This window comes from Homo sapiens, chromosome 18 (assembly GCF_000001405.40).
Source record: "Homo sapiens chromosome 18, GRCh38.p14 Primary Assembly".
Taxonomy (NCBI): domain Eukaryota; kingdom Metazoa; phylum Chordata; class Mammalia; order Primates; family Hominidae; genus Homo; species Homo sapiens.
In genome coordinates this window covers 67858611-67882702 of record NC_000018.10, presented here as the reverse complement: position 1 = coordinate 67882702, position 24092 = coordinate 67858611, and the positions used below count along the sequence as shown (strand labels likewise).

Here is a 24092-nt window from a genome sequence, read left to right as displayed (position 1 = left end):
AACAAAAAATGTTTGGAGATGTATGCTGCTATGAGACATCAATACAAAAACTCAAGTGAGCAGATAAACATAATACAAGTTTGATAGAGTATTAATTTTACATGTAATTTCAGCCATGTAACCCTCAACTATACAGCACGTTACTATCAATGCAAGAGATTCATTTTTATTCTCTCCTAGTTAACCCCTTCCTTGAAATTCAAATACTATTTTGGTGTCTGCTATTATGGAGTAGAATTGCTTGCTCCTGAACATAATATTAACAAAATAATAATGTATATTCTCATTTTTCCTGGCTTCTCTTGCTCAGTATTATCAGTGAGATTTATTCATGTTAATGCTATATCAGTAGTTCAGTGCTTTTTTTTTAATTTTAGTGTAATATTCAATTGTATCAGTAGGCCACAAAGTGTATCATTTTTTTTCTTGACTTTTTGTTTTGGCTATGACCTGCAATACTGTGCCAAGTGGACATGATGATTGCAATTATCATAGACTTCCTGAACAAAGAAAACCACTCAGTATTTTAGCACTGATTATAATCTTACCTATATTTTAGACACTGTATTTCAGTTTAATGAAGTTCTCTTTTATTCCGTGTCAGTTGAAAAATTTTAGAATAAAAACATTTTGAAATCATTAATTTCTTATTCTGCTTTTACTAAGATGATCTTTTTTTTTCTATATCCTGTTCATTGCAAATTATCCTGATTGTCTCTGTTAAAAACATTACATGCTTAAAACAAATCTTACTGACCATGATACAACATCCATTTTGTATACACTGTATGTGATTATTTTCCTTAGAATTTTTGGTTTGGAATTTATAGCAATATAGACTTATGAGCATGTAGTTTTCGTTAATGTAATTTCCTTGGCAGGTTTTGTTATAAATATTATAATACCTCCCTTCTAAAATATGTGGGAACATCTGTCATTATCTATTTTTTGGGAACTTTTAAGTTTGGAATTTTTTTTTCTTTAAAGGTATTAATATAAATGTAAAGGAATAATTTATCAGTGTTGATCTCATCTTGACACACAGCTCTTTAAAGAGAAGGAAAAAATACTGTTAAATTTTTATTATATTTATGCTATTCATAATGAATATATTTTTATTTTCATTAGGTTTAGGTCTTCTCTATTCAATTTATTTTCTGTTTGTTCCACTTATTCTTTTTTCTTTTATTTCTCATTCAAAATGTTTTATTAAGATTAACCACATTTTAATTGTTTTCTATTTCTGTGAAGATTGTCTTTGCTATTTTTATTGGAACTGCATTGAATCTGTAGATTGCTTTGGGTAGTAGGAGCATTTTAACAATACTAATCATCCCAATCCAGGAGACTAAACTGGGAGGATTGCTTGAGTCAGGGTGGTAGAGGCTGCGGTGAGCCAAGATTGAGCCACTGCACTCCACCCTGGGCATCAGAGTGAGACCCTCTTGCAAACAAAAAAATAGCGTTAAACAGGAAAAATTTTCTTTTAGACAGATTGTAGAGCGCAGTGTCTATAATTACTAATAGTATACTGGAAATTTCTAACTTTCTAACACATTAATTTCAAATGTCCTGTCCACCAAAAAAAAAGTATATGAGGTAATAGATAACTTGATTAATGTGATTTAATTATTCAACTTTGTATACATATATCATAACATCTACTTTTAACATACAAATATGTATAATTATAGCTTACAAGTTATAATAAAATTAATATATATTTTGGATATTAACTTCTTGTCAGATATATAATTTGGCATTTTTTTCTTATTTCATAAGTTCTGCCTTCACCCCGGTAATTATTTTCTTTGCTGTGTAAATGCTTTTCAGTTTGATGTAATTTCATTTGTCTATTTTTGCTTCCATTGGGAAATTTTTGGGGTCAAATCCAAAATATTAGTCTCCAGGCCAATGTCATACAGTTTTTCTCCTATATATTCTTCTAGTACTTTTATAGTTTCAGATCTTTAATCCATGTTGACATGATTTTTGTATATATTGTGAGATAGAGCCCATTTTTCTTCTTCCACATGTGTATAAAAACCAATGGGTCAAAGAAAAGATCAAGATGAAAATCAAAAACTATCTTTGAAAAAACAACATGAAAACATAACATGCCAAATTTTGGATGCAGGAAAAGCAGTTCTAAGAGGAAAATTTACAAAAAAAAAAAAAGTCTAAGTAAAGAAAGAAAAGTTTTAAATAAACAAGCTAATGTTAGCCCTCAAGGAACTAATACAAAGTGCAATTAGCAGGGAGAAGGAAATAATAACGTTCAGAAAAGGAAAGAATGATATAGATACTAGAAAATCAGTAAATCAATGAAACTAGGAGTTATCTTTGTGAAAAACAAACAAAATTGATAAACCTTTAGCTAGACTAACAAGACAAAAAAAGAGAAGAGATAAATACAATCAGAAATGAAAAGAAGATATTTCAGCTGAAACCACAGAGCTACAAAGGATCATAAGAGATTGCAATGGACAATTATACACTAACAAATTAGATTACCTAAAATAAATGGATAAATTCCTAGACATACACAACCTAACAAGATTGAATCATGAAGAAGTAAAAAATTGAATAAACCTATAACTAGCAAATAGATTGAATTGGTAATTTAAGATATTTCAAGAGATAAAAGCCCAGAACCAGATGACTTCACTGGTGAATACTTCCAAAAATTTTTAAAAGAATTAACGCCAATCCTTCCCAAACCCTTTCAAAAAATTGAAGAGGAGGGAATATTTCTAAGCTCATTATACAAGTATAGCATTATCCAGATACTATAACCAGACAAGGCACTACAACCTTAACAAACACAGATGCAAAAATCCTCAACAGAAGGTCACTCACTATGACCAAGTGTGATTTATTCCTGGGATCCAAGGATAGTTCAAGATATGCAAATCAATAGCTGTGATGTAGCACATTAACACCATGTAGGGTAAAAATCATTTAATCATCTCAACAGAAGCAGAAAATAATATTTGACAAAATTCAGCATTTTTATGATAAAAACTTTCAAAAATTAGGCATAGAAAGAATGTATCTCAATATAATAAAAGCCACATATGACAAATCCACAGTTAATGGTGAAAAATTGAAAGCTGTTCCTCTGATATCAAGAACAAGAAAAGAAGGCCCATTCTTACCTCTTTTGTGCCACGTAGTACTAGATACCATTGCCCGAACAATTAGGCAGGAGAAAGATATAAACGGCATTCAAATAGAAAAGGAAGTAGTGAAACTGTCATTTACTGACAAGGCAATATATATGGAATGCCATTAAAATGCCACCAATAAAACTGTTAGATCTAATAAACAAATGGTAAATTTGCAGGATACAAAATCTGCACACAAAAATCAGTAGCATTTGTATACACTAACAATGAACTGTCCAAAAATTAGTGAAAAAAATTTCATTAAAAATGGCTACAAAGATACTTAGAAATAAGTAATATTACAAAGACCATAATAAAGACCTTAATTATATATATGGTGTTTTAATTTAATTAATCATTATAATTCAGATCTTTAATCCATTTTGACATGATTTTTGTATATATTGTGAGATAGAATCCATTGTTCTTCTTCCACATGTGTATAAAAACCAATGAGTCAAAGAAAAAATCAGGATGAAAATCAAAAACTATCTTTAAAAGAACCAAAATGAAAACATAACAAGCCAAATTTTGGACGCAGCAAAAGCAGTTCTGAGAAGGAAATTTACAACAAAAAAGTCTATGTAAATATATTAAATAAATATATTAAATATATAATCTATTATAGTCTAATATATAGTCTATTAAATATATAATCTTAAAAATTTAGTAGAAACATAGAATAAAATATTTGTTGTATAGTAAGTCTTGTATTACCATTATAATATCTCGACTTAAGTCTTAGGTAGAATGTTTGCATACATTTCACAGGTGACATTAAAACATATCAACTGTGACTGTAAAATTTGTTTTAAAACCAATCTTAAAAATATTTTTTCCATTTTAATCACCCCATGTCAAAATGTTTTTTATTTTACATTTCCTAATTTTCCCTTGTTCTAATGTTCTAAACTCCCATCCTTTGATTTTTAATTTTTTAACCTAAATTAGAATAATGTAATTTGTCTTTAGCAAAACATCTATGCAAGATAATAGTAATAAATACTAATAAATTCCTTCGACATCTTGCTAAGATCTCCTGCACATAAATGGAGTGTCCTAAGCAGTTAACTGTAAGCAAGATTAATTTATACAAGAAACACATATAAAATATTATCTAGAAGTTAACTAATCTACAATGTCAAATTTGCTATGCATGGTAATTAGCGCTATGAGAGAAATTCACATGCAGACGAACAAAGACTTATCAGGAGGATTAGTAGCTACTCTATAAATGTGTAATTGTGTCCTTTAACATATCTTTTAAATTATTATACAATTACTTTAACTTTAAAATGTGATTCAGAAGTCTGAATTTTTTTAATATTACAGTTATGTACTCAAATCGAAACAAAATTCAGTTACTTTATTGAAAGTTAATAGACAATGATGAACTAAACACTTGCATTTTATGATCGCTGTGGTGTAAATGAAGCTTTACAAATATTTATCAGGCTTTGAGTTTAACAAGTAAAAATGTTTAAATTATTAAAAGAATAGTTGAAGGCTGTGGCACAGTCTTGAATCTTAAATTCTTTAAATATAGCGTTACCATGACTAAAGATCTTCATAATTAATGAGACAAAAAAGAGACACTTTTATTTAACTAGAATTATCACTATTCATATCATTTTGAAATTATGTTATTTTATTATTAATTTACCGGAGCTCATTTTATACTATGGCTGATATATCCCTAAACACTTCAGCACACAAGCACATATTTTATTGCGTGGTTAGAGATGATAGATCTGATAGATGTAACCAATCAAATTATTGGAATGTTTTAGATTAAACCTTAAATGAATGATTCTGCGATTATACAAGTCTAGACATTTAGTAAGAAATTCTATACCATTATTTTCGGCATTATAAATAGTATTACTTAAAGGTGGGAAACTGGTTATTGTTAAAAATTTTAGACTCAGCGAATAAACTTATTAATCATTGTTGATTGAACAGAATAGATCTATTGATCATTGTAGAGTACAATTATAGACATTTTAAAAAGGTAAAAGTGGTTTTGATCTTCTTAATATGGCAAAATGCTGTAAAATTTATGCAACATGATACAATTATGAAACAACGGTAAAGATGGATTAAATATTTCTGAAATAATATTTGAGATACGTACCACAAGTTTTAGGAAGATTCAGTAAAAAATGAATTGCAAAATACACTATACAGCCAGACGTTTATTTGGAAGTAAATAAACTGAGAAATAGTAACTAACTTATTCTTACTATCAACATAGGTTAAATATACAAAAAAGAAAACTTTAAAATATGACAATGAATGTGAAATAAAGAGTACTGCAAGGGAGCATCTAATATTATGTAGAAAGATTCATATTATTCATGATTCTACTGAGTCCTTTTGAAGGACAGACTCAGTATGAAAGATTCTCTTCCTAAGAAAGAAGTAAATAGAAAACTCTCCACAGTCCTGCAGTGCAAACAGAATGCAGAGACAGCTGGGCGTCGTACAAAAAGAGTGCTTAGAGTCAGAAAGTGGCAGGATGCAGAAAACTAAAGAGAAGGAATTTCCTGATTTTCAGTGATAGGCAGCAAGCATTCATTTTAGAACGCTGGAAGAATAATTGCTCTATTAAAAAGAAGTAAGAATATCCTGGGATGATGGCTAATTCAGCCTATTAGAAATAAAACAAGGTGGTAAAGCCTCCTCAAAATTTCACAAAGTATGGATAATAAGAGGGAAAAATAGATCCAGAATTAGGCAGACCAATGGTAAAATTCTTAATCGCAACTAACCAGAGCTTTTTTTCTTATTTATTTCTATAAAATAAGAATTGGGAATTATTGAAACACCATAGATTGCCAATAATGAAAAGTCACATATAAAATGATCTATTAATTGTATATTTTTTCATTTCATTTAATTTTATTTCAGGATAATATGATATATAAAATTATTTAAATGTGTGATCTTTGTTTAAATGTTGTATCAATTTACTTATAAAATATGACTTTTCCTGAAATATAATGTATATATAATTAAAAATCTATTTTAAGTGTGCAATTTATTAAGTTTTGGCAAATATATGTGTGAGTCCATATATATATATATATATATATATATATATATAGATGTATATATAGAGAGAGAGACAACACATCAAAATATAACAGGACATTCTCATCACTTTGAAAAGTTTCGTATGCCTATCTTTAGTTTTGTACTTCATCTCCTTCCCCATCCACAGCTGTGGGTAACTACTGATCTCATTTCTATCCCTCTAGCATTGGCTTTTCCAGAACTACATATAAGCAGTTCAAATAGTATGTCCTCTTTTGTGCCTGGCTTGTTTATTTAGCATAATGTTTTTGCAATTCATCCATGTTGTCGCATATATCAGTGACTCACTCAGTTTCACTGCTGGGAAATATTCTATCCTATGGAGATGCCATAGTTTGTTTATCCACAGATATAATAGACATCTGGACTCTTTCCAGTTTTAAGGAATGATGAATACAGATACTGTGAACATTTGCATATAAGTTTTGTGGGGACATATGCTGTCATTTCTCTTGGGTAAATACCTAGGGATACAATTACTGTGGTGTATGGCAAGTGAATTTTAAATTTGTAAAAACTGCAAAATATATTCCAACATAGCTGTACTACTTTGCATTCCCATAAGTAATCTATGTGCTATTCATTTGCTTCACATTCTTGTCCACACTTGGTATTGTCAGGCTTTTTTAATTTTGGCCATTCTGATGGGTATAGAGAGGTGTGGATTTTTCTTCCCTCTTCATAGTGACTCCTTGTTGTTCATCATTTCATGTGTTTATTTGCAACTTGTATATGTTCTCTGGAGAAGAATCTGTACAAATCAATTCAACTATTTCATTCATTTGTTTTCTTATTTTTAGGAATTATTTGTATTTCAAATACAAGCCTTTCATCACATTTTTTTTGCAAATATTTTCTGTCAGGCTGTGGTTTGCATTTACATTTTCTGAACAATGTCTCAGAGAGATTTTTCTTTACGTTTTTAATTTTGATAGAGTTTAATTTATTTAATTTGTAATTTTATAACTTTACTTTTTCTAATTTAAAAATATCTGTCACAGTCAAGTCACAAATATTTGTGATCATATTTTGTTCTATAAGTTTTAAAATTTTAACTTTATGATGAAATAATATGCAAAGGTAAATGTAGTGAATAGAGCACAAGCTCCAGGTCAGGTCTTCTGCAATAAATTCCATTCTTGTGACACACACTGCCCTGCATTGTGGGACTAATTGCTGTGCTTTTCAAGCCTCAGTGGTCTCATTTATAAATTAGGGTTCATACTACCTAGAATTTAAAACATCGAATTACAGTCATGTTTATATAAGGTACAATAATGCTTTAGCATGATGACTGAGTCATACCTTAGTACATTTTAAATAATGCCACCTGTTATTATTTTTTCATTATCAGTGATGTCCTTAATACTAAAAATGTATTTAAAAAAAACTTTTTCCTTGACATGAAGGAAGAAAGTAAGACTTCATTCACCAAATATTTATAGTGTGTCCATCAACGCTATCACACCTACATATTTTTAAATTTTTTTAAATTTTTAAAAATATTTTTAAGAATAATACAGCTTGTTTTACAATAATTGAGATAGAAAAATATTTTTCAAAAAGCTATATATAGTATGAATCACTTTTGAATATCTGATGTACTCAACTGATAGATCTATATGGCTATTCACGTGTAAGAAACACAGATGTTGAAGTCATGCATGTTTGTGTAAACCAAAAGTTAAAAACTTTAAGTATATAACACTAAAGAACACTTAATAGATATTAGGCACTTTTCTAAACACCTTGCAGGCCTATCTATTTAATCCTCACCACAGTCTTTTGAGGGAGGTAGAAACTATTATTATTCACAGTTTGTTAAAGAGGCAATTAGTTCAAAAAGAGATTGTCTTAGGTGACCTAGGACCCAACTGGTTAGTGCAAAGCTAGTATGTGAACCCAAGGAGTGTAGCCTCAGAGCCCATGTAGATACCAGCTACATCATAACAACTCAACACACATGCCATGAAGGGGCACGGGCCCTGAACGTATGCCCCCAAACCTGTTGAAATCGCTTTCTGGAAACTGGGACAAGAAGAGAGGCTGATTAAACACTTTCGAGGATCAGATAATCAGTGTTTTAAAAGGCAGATTTGGATTTCCTTTTGTGAGTCGAATACATAAATACTCCAGTGGGATATGGTGCTATATGTGTCTATAATATAGTATATATTGTTTACCAATAAGTGCTGCATTTCCAAGACATGAGGGTCCCACTTTTCCGTTCCACTGACGTCAGGCATAGTGATGGATGCCACCTCTGAGCAGAAGTTTTCAAGATGGGTGGATGCTTTGCCATGTTTATTTTTATCCTTCCATCTAGTTACAGTTTGCTGTTTCAGGGTGGATTCTGGAGTAAATAAAACATGGGAGAATCACTGCAGCTAAGGTATGAAAAAAGACATGGTATATATAAGCTAGAAATTGAGCTCTGGTTTTCTAAGCCAGAGGTAATTTCTCATTTTTTTTACCACAACATAACCTAGCTATCCCTATTGATATACAGTGCCCACTTTAACATTGTTAGGTCAAACTAGAATTTAATTAATTAAATATGTACTTATTAATATATCTGAATTATTTCCTCTAAGGTAGCCCCAGGAGTGATGTGTGACTGTAGACTAAAATTGCATAGTTAGTATGGGACTTGGGGATTCTACAACTGTAGAAGATAAGGAGTTTTGGATATTCTCAGATTTCCCTGGATTTTGAGCTAAGTTTTCACAATCAGCTCAATTTATCATTGACCAAGAACTAGGCTATTACCACAGACTAGAAATACTTCAAGGAACACCTCTGATTTTAATTATTTTTCCCAAATTAGAATTACGTATGTTTGAAAGCTTCAATATTAACAGTCATTTGGTCTCAAAAACTATATAGATTTATAGATATACACATATGGACAAGATATTTATGAATTCTTGTTAATGTTGTTATGAGGAAGAGGCTTTATATTTATTATATTTCCTTGCTTTTTAACACATCAATAGAAATTTGGATACTTATGACAAAATATGCAAAGAGCTCTATTAATGTATTTTTCTCAATTAGGATAATAAAATCCATGAAAATCAGAAATAAAACTAATAATCCTGTAAATATTTCCATCTGAGTTCTAACTCAGTAAACAGGTAAAGTGACATTAAACCCTGTGAAGATGCTAATGCAAAGTCAGGGTCAATATGTGAAAACAAGTAGAATTTGTGGCTATCATTACAAAGTTAAGGGTATTCTGAGTCATCTAATCTATACACATATCTCATCAGTGAGATTTAATAGGAAAAAAAATGAGGCCTCTTATTGTGTTCATAATCAAATGACTTCACAAATCAAAATTTTTGAAAAGTATAAGCTAGAAGGTTTCTCCTTGAGAATTGATATGTGTAATTTTTACTGTTTTTGTGATGCTGATTTGCAGAGAAAAAAAAGTAGTAGAAGGCCCATCTAGGAATATGCCAATCTACAGTGGTGTAAAACTAGCTACATGCAGCATAACCAGAGGGAGCATGTTCTCACTTTCTCTTGGCTAACTTTCCAAAGATAATTATCCAAGAAAGTGTAAGGAAAGGAGCTGGGGCACAAGCACTCTGACAAGTGCAGGTGACAGTAAACTATAAGGCACAGTGTTAAAAAGAATTAGTGCAGTAGAGGAACTGGTTGACACTCATGAATATTTCCTTACCTATGATCCCAGACTTTAAAATAAATCATGCAAACCCTAAGAAATGTCAGTATACTGTCCCAATAAACATCAGATGGAGACATAATTGCCATTCAAAAATACTAGACACACATACATCACAACTGTAAAATGATATCAAGACTTTTGTCTTCAATATATTTGGATAGTATTTAAATATCTAAATCGTATACCTAAGGGTTCTACATCAGTAACAGTGACTTTGAAAGCTTTCATAAGAGGGAAATCATAAAGTAGTCAAATTTTGGAATGATGTAACATTTTTTAAAAGTCCTCACTTACAATTGGATTTTAAAATCATTTCATCTTAGTAACACAGACTTTATTGCACTGAGAACGTCACTTATTTCAACCTCTGGTCTTCTCTGCTTTCTGTTTGTTTGTTTGTTTTGTTGTGGTTGTTGTTTTGTATGTCACTCTGTGCTGGTGCTGTCTCATTGTGGCCCATGCTGTCTGTGGGTCACCCCTTTCTGAACCAATCACCCCATCCCAACACCTGGCCAAGGCTTTAAGGGTAGGTCTTTGAATTAACATTAATGGTCTCGCCTTCCCCTACTTTTTTCCTCTCATCAAGATGCATTGACTTACGTCCCCTTCCCTGATATCTCATTAGAAATTAATTCAGCAAACCAATCCTAGCTAAGATATTTGTGACCAAATATGTTAAAACATACTTATTCTCTCAAAGTTTTAACAGAAGGGCTTAGTGCATGAGACAAATGATTTGAATAATACACAACACTTAGAATTAAGGAATTTCTCAAATAACATAATATTGTTTTACTTCACTATGTTTGCAACAGGCTTGAGCTGTCTTGGGTGTTGCAATGTGGTTAGTACTACATCTGCAAGACCCCCAGCTGTAGTAACAACGAAGTCTCAGCTGAATTTAGGTAAGGAGCAGACAGGAAATAAAGCTGGTATAGAGTAGAATGAACCAAGGGAGAGGTAGGATCTTACTGGAATCCTGAAAAGGTGCTTGATTTAAACTGAATCTTTAAGAAGTATACCAATAGGGCAAGTTACTGACAGATATTCTAAAGTGAACTATACTGAAAGCCCTCATAATTCCAAGAGATCTCGATAACAAGCAATTTATAGATACAGAGATGTTTTCTTTGCTTAAGAGGTAAAATAGGACCTTATAAACAAGGTGGGAGAAAAGAAACATATTTTCGCCAGGTCACTAGGCCAAAAGTACAGATTATCTTGGTTTATCTCTAGTGGCTAGTTAGCTACGCAGTTCCTTATTGTGCTAATGATTACTAAAAATTCAATAACTTATATGCTATCATTTCAAATAGAGACTCTTTTTGACTTTTTTCTTAAAGAAGCTAAAGAATGAAGGCTAAAATGCTTTGAATGATCTTTTGATAAGAATGGGAAATACATTATATTGCAATTTCAGATGCTTAAAAGCAATAATATTGATGTAAGAACAACTCGACCTTGTTAAAATCTGTTACATTTTGAAGGACTCATATAACTATTTATTTGTTATATTTAATTATAAAATGCAATTCTATTTGTTATATTATAGTTTGCAAGATGCATGTGTGTATATATAAGAATGTGTATATATATATGTTAAATATGCTTATAAGTATGAAAGTTAAGCAGAATGAATATTATCTCCAATAGTAATAACTGTTAACATGGATGAATTAATATTTATAACAAAAATGGAAAATAGAAAAAGACTACAAATTTATTTTACTTCATTATCTCCCTCAGCTAAAAGAGTATGTCTACATTAGCAAATTCTATCAACTCCCAAAACCTATCCTTAGCCTGCTTACGCCCTAATTGTACCATGACCACCTTAGTCCAAGCCCTAATTTTCTTCAGATGAACTAGAACAATAGCCTCCCAATATTCTACCTGCTTTACTTTTGCTTTTAAAATTCTATTGAGGTATATTTATGTTCAATACAAATGTATACATTTAATATAATAAAATATATTCTAAAGTGCAAAATTTTAATGTATATAATTCAATGAGTTTTTGCAAATGTGTACCTCTATTATTTTATAATGTAATTCAAGGCCTAGGCCCTTTCCATTCTTCTTGAAATTTCCTCATGTCCTTTTGTGTAATGCCTACATTATTTTGCACAGCATATTTGTAAAATTCATCTATGTTATTTATTAATAAGTAAATTATTTTTATTCTTCAGTAATGTTTCATTACAGAAATATATGAAAATCTGTTAGTGTACTCTCGATGGTCATTTATGTAGTTTGTATGAACTGGCTTTGTGAGTGAAGGTGTTCTAATATTACTTTTTGTTTTAATTTTTAATTATTATGGGTACATAATAGTTCACATCAGGTTAATAAGGTATCCATCACTTTAAGTAGTTATCATTTCTTTGTGTTAAGAACATTCCATTTCCAATCTTTTAGCTATTTAAAAATATACAATAAATTGTTGTTAGCTATTGTTACCCTACTGTGCTATCAAATACTAAATCTTCTTCCTTCTCTCTAACTGTAATTTTGTACCCATTTACCGTCTCTTCTTTATCCACACCCCAATGCAGGCTGCTCTTCTTTTGAACCCCTGGTAACTGTCGTTCTACTCTCTATCTCAGAGTTCTTACATTTTTAGCTCCTGCCTATGTGTAATAATATGCAATATTTGTTTTCCCGTTCCTGGCTTATTTCATGTAACATAATATCCTCCAGTTCCATGTTGTTGCAAATGACAGGATTTCAATTTTTATGGCTGAATAATATTCCGTGATGTATATGTAACACATTTTGTTTATCCACTCATCCACTGATGGACACCTAGATTGATTCCATATTACTGTGAATAGTGCTGTTCTGATTGGGCACTAAGCTCTTTAGGGCTGGTTTCTTCAGAGATATAACTTTTGGAATGAGAAGGACACATAGCAAATAACTGGGGTTTTTAATTTCAAAAACCTTAGTGGAAGGAATTTTATTTCATGACTCTAAATTGTGTTTTCTAACTGTAACAGAAATCCCAACTTTAATATACAAAAACCTGTTAATTTTATTTTCAACTGATAAGGACAAAGTCTACATCTATTCATTGCATATTCAAAGCTTATGAACTGCATTTTTGTTTCAAGATACACACACTCGCCTTTTGTAAGTCTGATACTAATAATCTTAATGTAAGGAAGTAGATATAAGAAAGTGTGTGTTCATTTTAGTTTAAATTAATGTATAGTTTGTTTACTGTTTTCCAATTCCTTTTTATCTACCTATATAGATTGCAGTACCAGTACATGAATTGTAAAAATCATTTTACTTTATTTTTATACTACAAACTTTTCATTTGAAATGTATTGCCCTGATGAATTTAATAGTTACATGCCAGCCGGTACTGTGTTTGTTTGAAAATGATTTCCAGTTTCTAAATCTCTGCTCAGCCAGGAGAAGCATCTAAAATGATGTTCTAAGCCTAAGTAGAAAGAACACTAGGTTTCCTTTTATGACTCATTCGAAAAAATGTCCCTAGCACTCTCCATTTACACTAAAAATGTTTTCCACCTGGAGTTTTCAAGGAGACTCAGGTGGGTACTTCTCACCTGGCCTCCTCTAATTGGCATGTGGGGGCTGTGATTGATAGCTTAGAAACAGGGTGCACAAAAACGGCTTGGCTAAAGCTAATGCTTTTTCCTGTCTATGATATACAGTGAGGCCATTTTTGAAGTATGTTTTGGTATTCATTTATTAGTCTATTAGATTTCTTCCCTTTTTCCCCTTATTTATCACCCAAAAACCTTCTAAATCATATTCTACTTTTGTATTGATTTTGCAAGTTAGAAACTGCAAAAATTCTCACTTCATGAATGCATCACAAAAATGGCTTATTCTCCATATGTCATTAAATCTCATTTAACAAGGTTTCCTGTAAAAGGTCAAGAATTAGCCTGGAATAATTAATTGTTAATCTTCATCACATAGTATGGCTCAGTCTTTACAGATTATTTTGATCAGAATGTCACACAATGTCTTATGGTTCTAGGGAAGCATGCTTGTAAGGGTACCAGTGACAAAATTAATCTCTCAGGCTACACACTCTGCTTTAAGAAAACTCTGTGTTCTTTCAAAAGGTAGGGGAGTATTAGATTTCCATTTAAATCTAATGCGAGAACCAATTTTGAGAGTCCACAGCTCAATTTGAATCCCTTCCTAATTTCAGAATTATGTTGTAATTCACAGAGGAACTTATTGGGGGTCATTCCAAAATTTAGGATGGTAGTAGACTTAATTTATATTAAATGTGTTTCTGAAAACTGTGTAATGCATATTAAAGTTTGATCAAAGGATAGATACATAGATAATAGAGACAGATTATAGAAAGACAGGCAACTATAAGTATAGAGATAATATAGCTGTATTCCATTTTCTATATTATCATATTTACAAGAAAACCTTCTATGTCTCCTGAGCAGTCAATGTTTTAGCAATATTTAACCTTATCAATACTGAATTAGTAGTTTTCTTATTCTTAGAATAAATGGTGACATATTTATTGTTGTGCATAAATTAAGCTTATTATAGCAAACACCTATTCACATTTTTACTTAATTAATTTATAAAATATACATCCAAAGAAAAGAGCTATTTTTAAAAGACATGAGGACATTAACTGTCTGCTCATATATTGTTTTCATTGAGAGAAATACAGAATCTAATATCATTATGTTTAAAATACCAATGTCTAAACTTGAATTTTATTTCCACCCATTCTGAAATGAGTATACATATTCTTTCATTTATAAACATTAACATTTTGAAAATAGTAATACCTTTGCACACATGAAGAAAAATATAAATACATACTATAAATCAGTAATTTCTATAAAAATATAGAAAGTATGTGGGTAACTTGCTCTGGTATCCAAATCTAGCAAATACAGAACCAAACATTTTAATTTACAATTTTTCGCTCATTCCTAAAGACCAGCACAAATTTTAGCATGGTTAACTGAAGATGTAACATTCATTACATTCTTAATTATAAGAATCATGTTTTTTAAAATGAACTAGGATATATGCAAATTAGGATTTAACATAGTAATATCTTGCATTAACACTACCAAAAAACAAAAAAAAAGAGTTATCAATGACTGTTATGTAACGCAGATTCTTTGAAAAGTAAAGTATATCTTAATACCTGTAGTTCAACTATGTCGTTACAGGTGATAGCAAAGCTACATGAAGAATGGAAATTATTCCTTTTCATATGCAATCCAGTGATCTCTTATTTTTAGTAGACTAGCATAACTGCAATTAATTTTCTCTACTAATAGTTCAATTTAAGATAAACTGAAAATTTAAATCTATAGATCAAAGAAAGAGCCTAACTCAGTCATACCTAACTCATAAAGTAGACTATGCCAATGACTTTAATTTTAAAGACATCAGCGGTTTTGCTCTGAAACATGACATACAGTGTTATCAGTTGTAATCATTGATTCAAAGTGAGCTAGACTTGCAGGTAAGCTATTTTGTACTCATAAGGGACAATATGATTTAAATTCCATGCAAAGGGAAAGATAAATCTAAAACATTACTCCATAGCAAAATTAATTATTATTCCTTTGGGTGCTTACAATGCCAATATTTCCACATTATATTAATTTAGCTACCAATATAAATATTTCTAGCTGCTGAAAATTAGAATTAAAATGATGGAATATCTTAAGGCCAAACCATAAACCAAGAAAACAAATAAGGTAGATAAATATGAGTCCTCTGAGTTTCTGCATACCGTCTGCCTCTCACTGCACACCTCCTCTGCTTCTGCCTCTCTCACCCTGCTCTTCCTCTCCTGCCTCATCTGCCCAAGCAAATAGAATGGAACATTCTACAGTCACATGATCCTTTGGATTGTCAGTGCAAAACACAAGAGGTAGGCATATTTATTTGGCTAGCTTTATGTATTTATTTTTAATCTACAGACTAATTTTTTTAAAAGCCATAATAAACACTTGGATTCCAAATATAGTATTTTGTTGAATACTGCTCCAGATACATACTATACAAAGTAAAAATTTGAAAATATCTCCGAACCATAACAATAAACATAATAAAGTAATGATATAATATCTTAGAAGGTGTTAAGAACAAAGGAAGGAAACAAGACAATGTAAAGGCAATGGGAACCATGGGTGATTGTTGTTAATATTTTTAAAAGGAGCAATCAGTGTTGGCCTCAATAGGTGGGTTGTGATTGAACAAGGACTGGGGTCAGGTGAGTGAACAAACTATTTGTAAGTGTGGGGACAGATTTCTTCAGGCAGAAGGCTATCATGTCCATGGCTGTGAGGAAACAGCATGCCTGTTGCAGGCCAGGCAGAGGAGACTGGAATGGAGTAATCGGAGAGGAAATATTTGGAAAGTTCATTTAGCTTTTAGTATAGAAACAGAAAACCATCGAAGGGTTTGAGAAAAGTGCCATTAGCATCTGTCTTTCATTTTAATAAGATCATATTGGCTGCTGGTTTAAGAAGACACTGTGAGCGACAAAAGGGGGAGCAGTGAAATCATTTGTAGGGGACATTTGCAACAGTCCATAGAAAGTATCTTCTAAGCTTGGATCTAATTATCCAGGGTTTCCAAAGTGATGAGATTCTAAATATTTTGAAAGTTGAGTCAACAGGATTTATGGATCAGATAGATTTGGATGTGAAAGAAAAAAGCTAAGAATGACGCTATTGTGTGTTCATTATGAGGAAAATGAAGTATAAAACTCTATCAGGTCACATTGAGGAAACCAGATATTTAGCCTTGGGTATGTTAAGATCAGCATGTTCAAAAGAGGAACTGTTGCAGATTTCACATAAGCAGCAGAATACAGACTCGAGTTAACAGGACTGGTCCATGCTGACATACCAACTTGAGATATATTTGAAGATATTTCTAGAGAAGATCAAGGGAATAAATGTGGATATAAAATGGGAAGAATTCAAAGACTAAGCCCTGGGAATCACCACAGTCAATTAAGAGAAAGTAAGGGAAGCACCAAAGGAAAAATGGGAAGGGTAGTGGCGAAATAGGAGGAAAGCCATGAAAGCATGGTCTAGGAACAGTATTGTAAGGAAAAGGAAATAATCGGCACTGTTAAATAAGGCTGAGAAGTTATGGAAAGGTTACGCAAGAGGGATACTGAGAATTTACTCTACATTCAGTCGTTGTCAGTTATTAGGGGCTTTTTACAAGAACAGTTTTAATACAGAGATAGCAGGGAAAGACTGGAAAATCAAGAAAAAAAGATGGATCTGGTGTTAATGGGGAGGTCCAAGAAGTAACTTTTTATATGAGAGCAATATTCAAATGCAGATGAGGGTAATCCTGAGGATACCAGGGACAGAGGAAAATAGTTGTCCTAATGCCCTGAAGAGGTCAAGATGGGACAAAGCCATGCACAAGTGACTCACAGGTTTCTTAAAGAGGAAGGTTCTGAAAAGATAAATGTGCTGAAAAGAACTGCTTAGCTGTTCAGGAAAACCAAGCCATGTGGACTTGGTAACACTTGTTTTTGTTTCTGCAGTATCTAAATTCTTTTACATGCAATAATACTGATAATTTGTTGTGTGTCATACTTTTATATGACTTTTCCCCATCTCAGGAATGTGCTGTCTCATAAAAAAAAACAAGAGGGAAGATGTACTATATGGCACTAATGCCAGTAAGTGAGAAGTTGTGAGTTGGGGAGGTTTTGAAATTTATTTTGTGAGAACTGGAATTTTCTTACTGAATTAAGAAGCAACGTCAGCCCCTGTATGTAAGAGTGGTGAAGAGATGTGAGAAAACTGAGGAAAAAGGAGAATGACTAATATAGCCATTAAAAAATATAGAAAAGCAAACTCAACAGTAACATCAATGACAGTTCAACAGGTGGCACCAACTTGCAATTTATGTTTCTCAATTTCATTTTTCTCTAGCCAAGTAAAGGTACAGGTGCAAAATAGGAACAGATTTGGGACATAACGAGGGTCTATTTCTTTTTCCCCCAAGAGAGTAGCCTCCCAACAATAATATCAATCTCAAATATATCATGATAGGATCCAGCTGTATTTTCTTTTTTTTTTTTTGTTTTTTTTTTTTTGTTTTTTTTTTTTTTTTGAGACAGAGTCTCGCTCTTTCGCCCAGGCTCGAGTGCAGTGGTGCAATCTCAGCTCACTGCAAGCTCCGCCTCCTGGGTTCACGCCATTCTCCTGCCTCGGACTCCCCAGTAGCTGGGACTACTGGCGCCCGCCACCACGCCCGGCTAATTTTTTTGTATTTTTAGTAGAGACAGGGTTTCACCGCGTTAGCCAGGATGGTCTCGATATCCTGACCTTGTGATCCGCCAGCCTCAGCCTCCCAAAGTGCTGGGATTACAGGCGTGAGCCACCGCGCCCGGCCTCCAGTTGTATTTTCTTGCACATATTAACTGATTACATACTTATATACACACACACACGCACACACACACACACACATTGTGTACACACTATTGATTCAAACATCTTTTTCGACTTTTATTTTAGATTCAGGGGTACATGTGTAGGTTCGTTACATGAATATATGGTGTGATGCTGATGTTTGAAGTATGATTGATCCCATCACCCAGGTAGTGAGCATAGTACCCAATGGAGATTTTTAAAAATCTTGACCCCTCCCTCTTCCCGATAGTTTCCGGTGTGTATTGTTGTCATCTTTATGTCCACGAGTACTCAAAGTTCATCTCCCACTTATAAGATATAACATGTGGCATTTAGTTTTCCATTCCTTTATTAACTTGCTAAGGATTATGGCTCCATCTGCATCCATGTTGCTGCAAAGGATATGATTTCACTCTTTTTTATGACTGCATAGTATTCCATGATGTATATATAGCAGATTTTCTTTATCCAATCCACAGCTGATGGGCACCTAGGTTAACTCCATGACTTTTTTACTGTGAATAGCACAGTGATGAACACACAAGTACATGTGTCTTTTTGGTAGAACAATGTGTTTTCTTTTGGGTATATACCCAGTAATGGGACTGCTGGGTGGAATGGTAGTTCTGTTTTAAGTTCTTTGAGAAATCTCCAAACTGCTTTCCACAGTGACTAAACTAGTTTACATTTCCACCAACCGTGTATAAGCATTTGCTTTTTGCCACAGCCTTGCCAGATTCTGTTGTTTTTATACTTTTTAATAAAAGTCATTCTGACTGGTATGAGATGATATTTCTTTGTGGTTTTGGTTTACATTTATCCAATGAGTAGTGATGTGATTTAACTTGTAGAGGATCAAATATAGTGTGTGTGTTTGTGTATTTTTAAGTACTACTATTATGCTATGGGCTTTATTCTCAAGTTGTTTATTTGGTCGTTTATTTTTCTACCCAAGTTATAGAAGGATGAGCTAGTTGACTATTATTATGCAAATTAGCAAATGTCAGAGTTCATGATTCAAAACAAAAGAGTTCTTTCATTTTGAAAGTGTGTTTCTTATTTGTGGGCCCAATTTTAAAATAATATTAGCTACAGGTCTATCTGAAAACATTTTACTTTTATAATGCTTCACATAACATGGTAGAGGGAATTTTCTGAAATATATACATAAAATTTTAAAATAATGTGTTATTTAGGAAAAATATGTGGCCTTAATAAAGCTGGTGTTTTACTTTAACCAGGATGAGGTTATTTACATTGAATCATCAATATTTTGACAGTTTGTTATTTCCTACATGCAGATGCTAGTTTACCCAATATGGTGGTTTCCTTTAAAAAAAAAATTCTCAGCTGTAGAAAAAATACAATTTAAATAAGAGTATATCACTCCCTTATAATTATGCCAACATTACATGAAGCAGAATAAATGGAACATAATAAATTATTTCACATAGAAGGAGTATTCCTGGATGAAAATTCTGATAGAGATATTTGAATTTAAAATCTAAGAGTATTTACTAAAAAACTAAGGTTTTAGATATATTACTAAGTAACATTACTAAGGTTTTAGTAAGATTACTAAGAAAGGAAGGTGATCGGGTCAAGGGAATGATAGCTATATCCATTTCTTAGAACTTTTTTATTAGGTTGGTGCAAAAGTAATTGCTGTTTGGCCATTACAATGGTTTGGCCATTACGTTTAATGGCCAAAACTGCAATTATGTTTGCAACAACCTATATAGTAAACTCAATCGAGTTTACTAAAATCAAATTTATTGGATTTGAATTGCAAAATGATAACAGTCTACATTCCAGTAGTATTAAAATTTACCTTGCATCATTCTTTACCATTCCTGTTTTTCTTTTGTATTTCTTTCAAATCTACCAGCTCACACAATTCCAATATCTTCTGGCATACAAAATCATATATTGATACAAAAATAAAAGGATTTGCATATTTTCTTTATTGCCCTGCATTCATTCCATTTGTAGCAAGTATGGAATTTGAAGTTACTTTGCAAATAGTTCTGTAGTGAGCCTGATGTCTAACATTCCTTGAATTTTTTTAAAGTGTTATTTTTGGTATTACCATAGAACAGAAGACTGAAATATGTTAAACAGAAGTTTTTAAGACCAAAATAAAGTGCCTCTGTCTACCACATTTCCATTATAAATATCCTAGTTCAGACTTATATCTTAGATAATGTTGATAATAATTAATGTTCGGCTATTACTTCAGGAAAAATTAACATATCAAGTTTCAGTAAAAGTTACCATAAGAAAACCTTTAGGAGAAAAATTTGTACTTACTATTAGTGAACCAGTGTCATAATGTTCCCACCTAATCATCAAATGGTGCTACTCAACATATCTCAACAGTAAAATCAATCTCAAATATATAATGATGGAATCAATTCACATTTATTTCCTTACACATATTTTACTGGTATATACATTGTGCACACACTTCTAATTCAAATGTGTTTCTTATTTCACTTACTTTTTATTTATATGGAGGACCAAAATAGTGTGTGTGTATGTGCGTGTGTGTGTGTATGTGTGTGTATTTTTCAGTGCCACAGCTGTGCTACGGGACTTTATTCTTAAATTTTTGTTTGGTTCTTTATTTTGTTCTTGTAAAGCATGTAAATATTAATCAATAACAGTATATGTAAACTGTGCAGTTTAAACTTATCTTCATATTTCATAAACTTGGCACATTTTTATTACTCATTATTTTGTTTCGGTTTTCAAGTTAATGTACGTCCATTTTAAAGTGTAAAACTAATGTTTTTGTTCACAAAAAATTAAATCACTTTTAATACTAATAGGTACAAATGTCCTTATTTTTCTTAAATTGAAATCTCTTACACACTTCCATCATAAAATTATTTTTGTGTCTCATATACCAGCATTCATTTGACAATTTGCAAATGAAATCAATATAAGGCAAATATTCTCTGTTTTGCCCATTTTTAAGACATTCTGGTTTGATATGCCATATTGATCAGTGAAAACAAGCTGAATGAAGATATGCTTTTCTTACAGAAATAGACACATTGACTATTACTGTTGTGGAGATGTTTTAACATGAACTCTTTCAGAAGTTGCCAAATTGATTGCAAGGTGTAAGAAAATATTTTACAAGCATAGTGAAGTATGAGGTAAAGTGTATTATTTAATTGTCCCATATACTTCATGATTTAATAACTAATTATCAAAGTTCATATAAGCCATAGGCTAATTTCACCAGCAAAATGCAAAATCACTAATTGCAAAGTCAAATGTTCTTCCCTTTACCTCAGTAAAATATGTATAGGATGTGCTAGTTTTAAAAGTGAAGTTTTCATTAAAAATACTGACAGTCTCTTTGGATTTGCTTGTCAGATCTCATTTAAAATGGAAATATATTATTTAATATTATCTACTAAGAATCTTTAGTAACCCTCATCTAACACCACTGTAAAACTATTGTTTCTATGCTGTATATTTTAAAAAGTACACTTCAGAATATTTTGTTAATATAATTTAGAAGTCTTAATGCTGCAATAGCAAAGCTCTGAAATGTTAATACATATAGTTTCAATTAAATATCAATAGTAAAAACAAAATGTGTCATAGTCAGATATTAACAAGACTTTATATGTAAATATTGTATACATTACATAATAAAATACTGCATGAATATGCTCTTGTCTGTTCATATTATTTGAAGAACAAAACCAACTTTATAACTTTTCAAAACTGTTTGTGACAATTTATGCCTACTTTTCTCATATAGATTGGTGAGTTCTTTTTCTTCACAGATACTGAACTTTTTTATAACCTCTTAGAGCTGTAGAAGCGAAGCCCAGGTAATTGCTATCAGACAAGAGGAGAACCTCTTGAAATTGTACAGCTCATGAATTTCTTCGAGTTGTCATCAACATAGGTAGAAGAGGTTATTAAACTTAGCACTGGCTGCTGGCCCCTGATTGATACCATGTGTCAGATTTTAAATTCTTTCCTATCCAGGCTTGTAATGTATGCATTTTCCAGTCACTGGCTTGTGGGGCTTTAGGTGAGTTATATTTCTCTAGCTTAATTTTATCATCTCTCAAAGGCTTTTTTCGCTGTTCTTTTAAAAATCTCACAAGTCCAACTAAGCTTTTCTGCTTATTTTGAAATATTAATCACTATTGTTTCCAATAAAATCTTTACTAACAGTAATTTTCCAGCAAATTCATTTGAAAATATGTTAAGTAGTTCTAGATTTTGAAGCTGTTATATTTATTTTCCTTATAGAAATTAGCCTTATTATTTTCTCAAAAAAAGTCCTATTGATTTTTATAGGCATCAGAAAGACACACATTTTCAAGGTAGCCTCTAATATCAGAGCTATTTTGGTACATGTGTACCTATTCGAATATATATATATATATATATATATATATATATACACACACACACACACACACACATATATGGCATATATATATATACACACACATATATGGCATATATATATATATACACACGCACACACACACACACACACATATGGCATATATATATATATATATATATATATATATATATGCCATTGCCCAAACCCTGTGGTGACACCTTTGTGGATGCCAAGGCACACAGGGATACACACACACATACACACACACATATACACAATTTACATCCCACATTGTAGAAAAAATACATCACACAGTTTAGAAGAAATGAACAGGGGAATTTTGCAGAACATAGTCCAGAGAGATTTATTCTCAGTATTTTCACTCTTAAATGGGTTGGAATGTGTAGGGTGAATTCTACAGGAACATGTTCTAATTCAAAAAGCAAGTGCTTTCAAAATGGTAACAAAATTAAGTAAGTGTTAGGTGTTGCCTCCCTTATTCTCTATTCTCCCTCATATTAACATATGTAAATTACCTCCAGACCTGGGTTTCCCATCCTCCCACATATACCTGAGAAAGAGATATGATTACATGCCCAGAAGCTTTGTAGGGAGCCAATGTTATGATTTTAGAAACATTTTGTAAGGTGTAATTCACGGCTCACAATTCCACACTGTTATACCAAAGCAGTTTTCCTCATTTTCAAACATAACAACAGTTTTAGTTTGAATGCTTTTGATAGAACACATCAGGTAAGAAACAAGCCATAAAAGACCACAGATTACAGGGAATTTAAAAAAGAGGGTAAAACTTTCTAGAAAAGTTTTCAAAGTATCTTAACGCTTTGGAAATAACAGGAGTCATTTTGCAACTATGTCTATATATATATACTATGTGCAGAATATATTAGATATCTGTTTCAGAGTTCAATTCTTCTACATTACTCCTTCAGAAGGGTTTAAATTCCCCTTTCCCTCTTTTCTTTGCTAGGAGCCCTCTGTGCCATTAGCTATGTTTACTCTGCTCATTTCTTTCTGTTCTTTGTTACCTCTTCCTGTAACTAGGAATTCAGGCCACAAAGGACACACCGTGATTTCACAGGTCTAAGTCAAGTTAACCAAATTATTTAAAATACTGCAAATTTAATTCAAGAAGAGCTTCTTTTTAAAAGTTGAATATGCATTTATCGACTCTCTCTCTCCCTGAATGCATTTATACGAAAATATGTGAATGTATTTATACAAAAATATGTGGATTTCAAACAGTTTACAATAGACATCATGGACATTCTAATTGATATATTAGCTTCCTAGGCCTACCA

General features: G+C 31.9%; 1 long non-coding RNA gene across 1 annotated transcript in view; it reads right to left on the bottom strand.

The window, feature by feature from the left end:
• Positions 1 to 24092, bottom strand: part of DSEL-AS1 (DSEL antisense RNA 1) — a 383074-nt gene that overhangs the window by 16917 nt on the left and 342065 nt on the right. Inside the window, exon 4 of the long non-coding RNA NR_033921.1 lies at positions 8447 to 8616. This is a non-coding gene — a long non-coding RNA (DSEL antisense RNA 1). The remainder of the gene's footprint in view (positions 1 to 8446; positions 8617 to 24092) is intronic.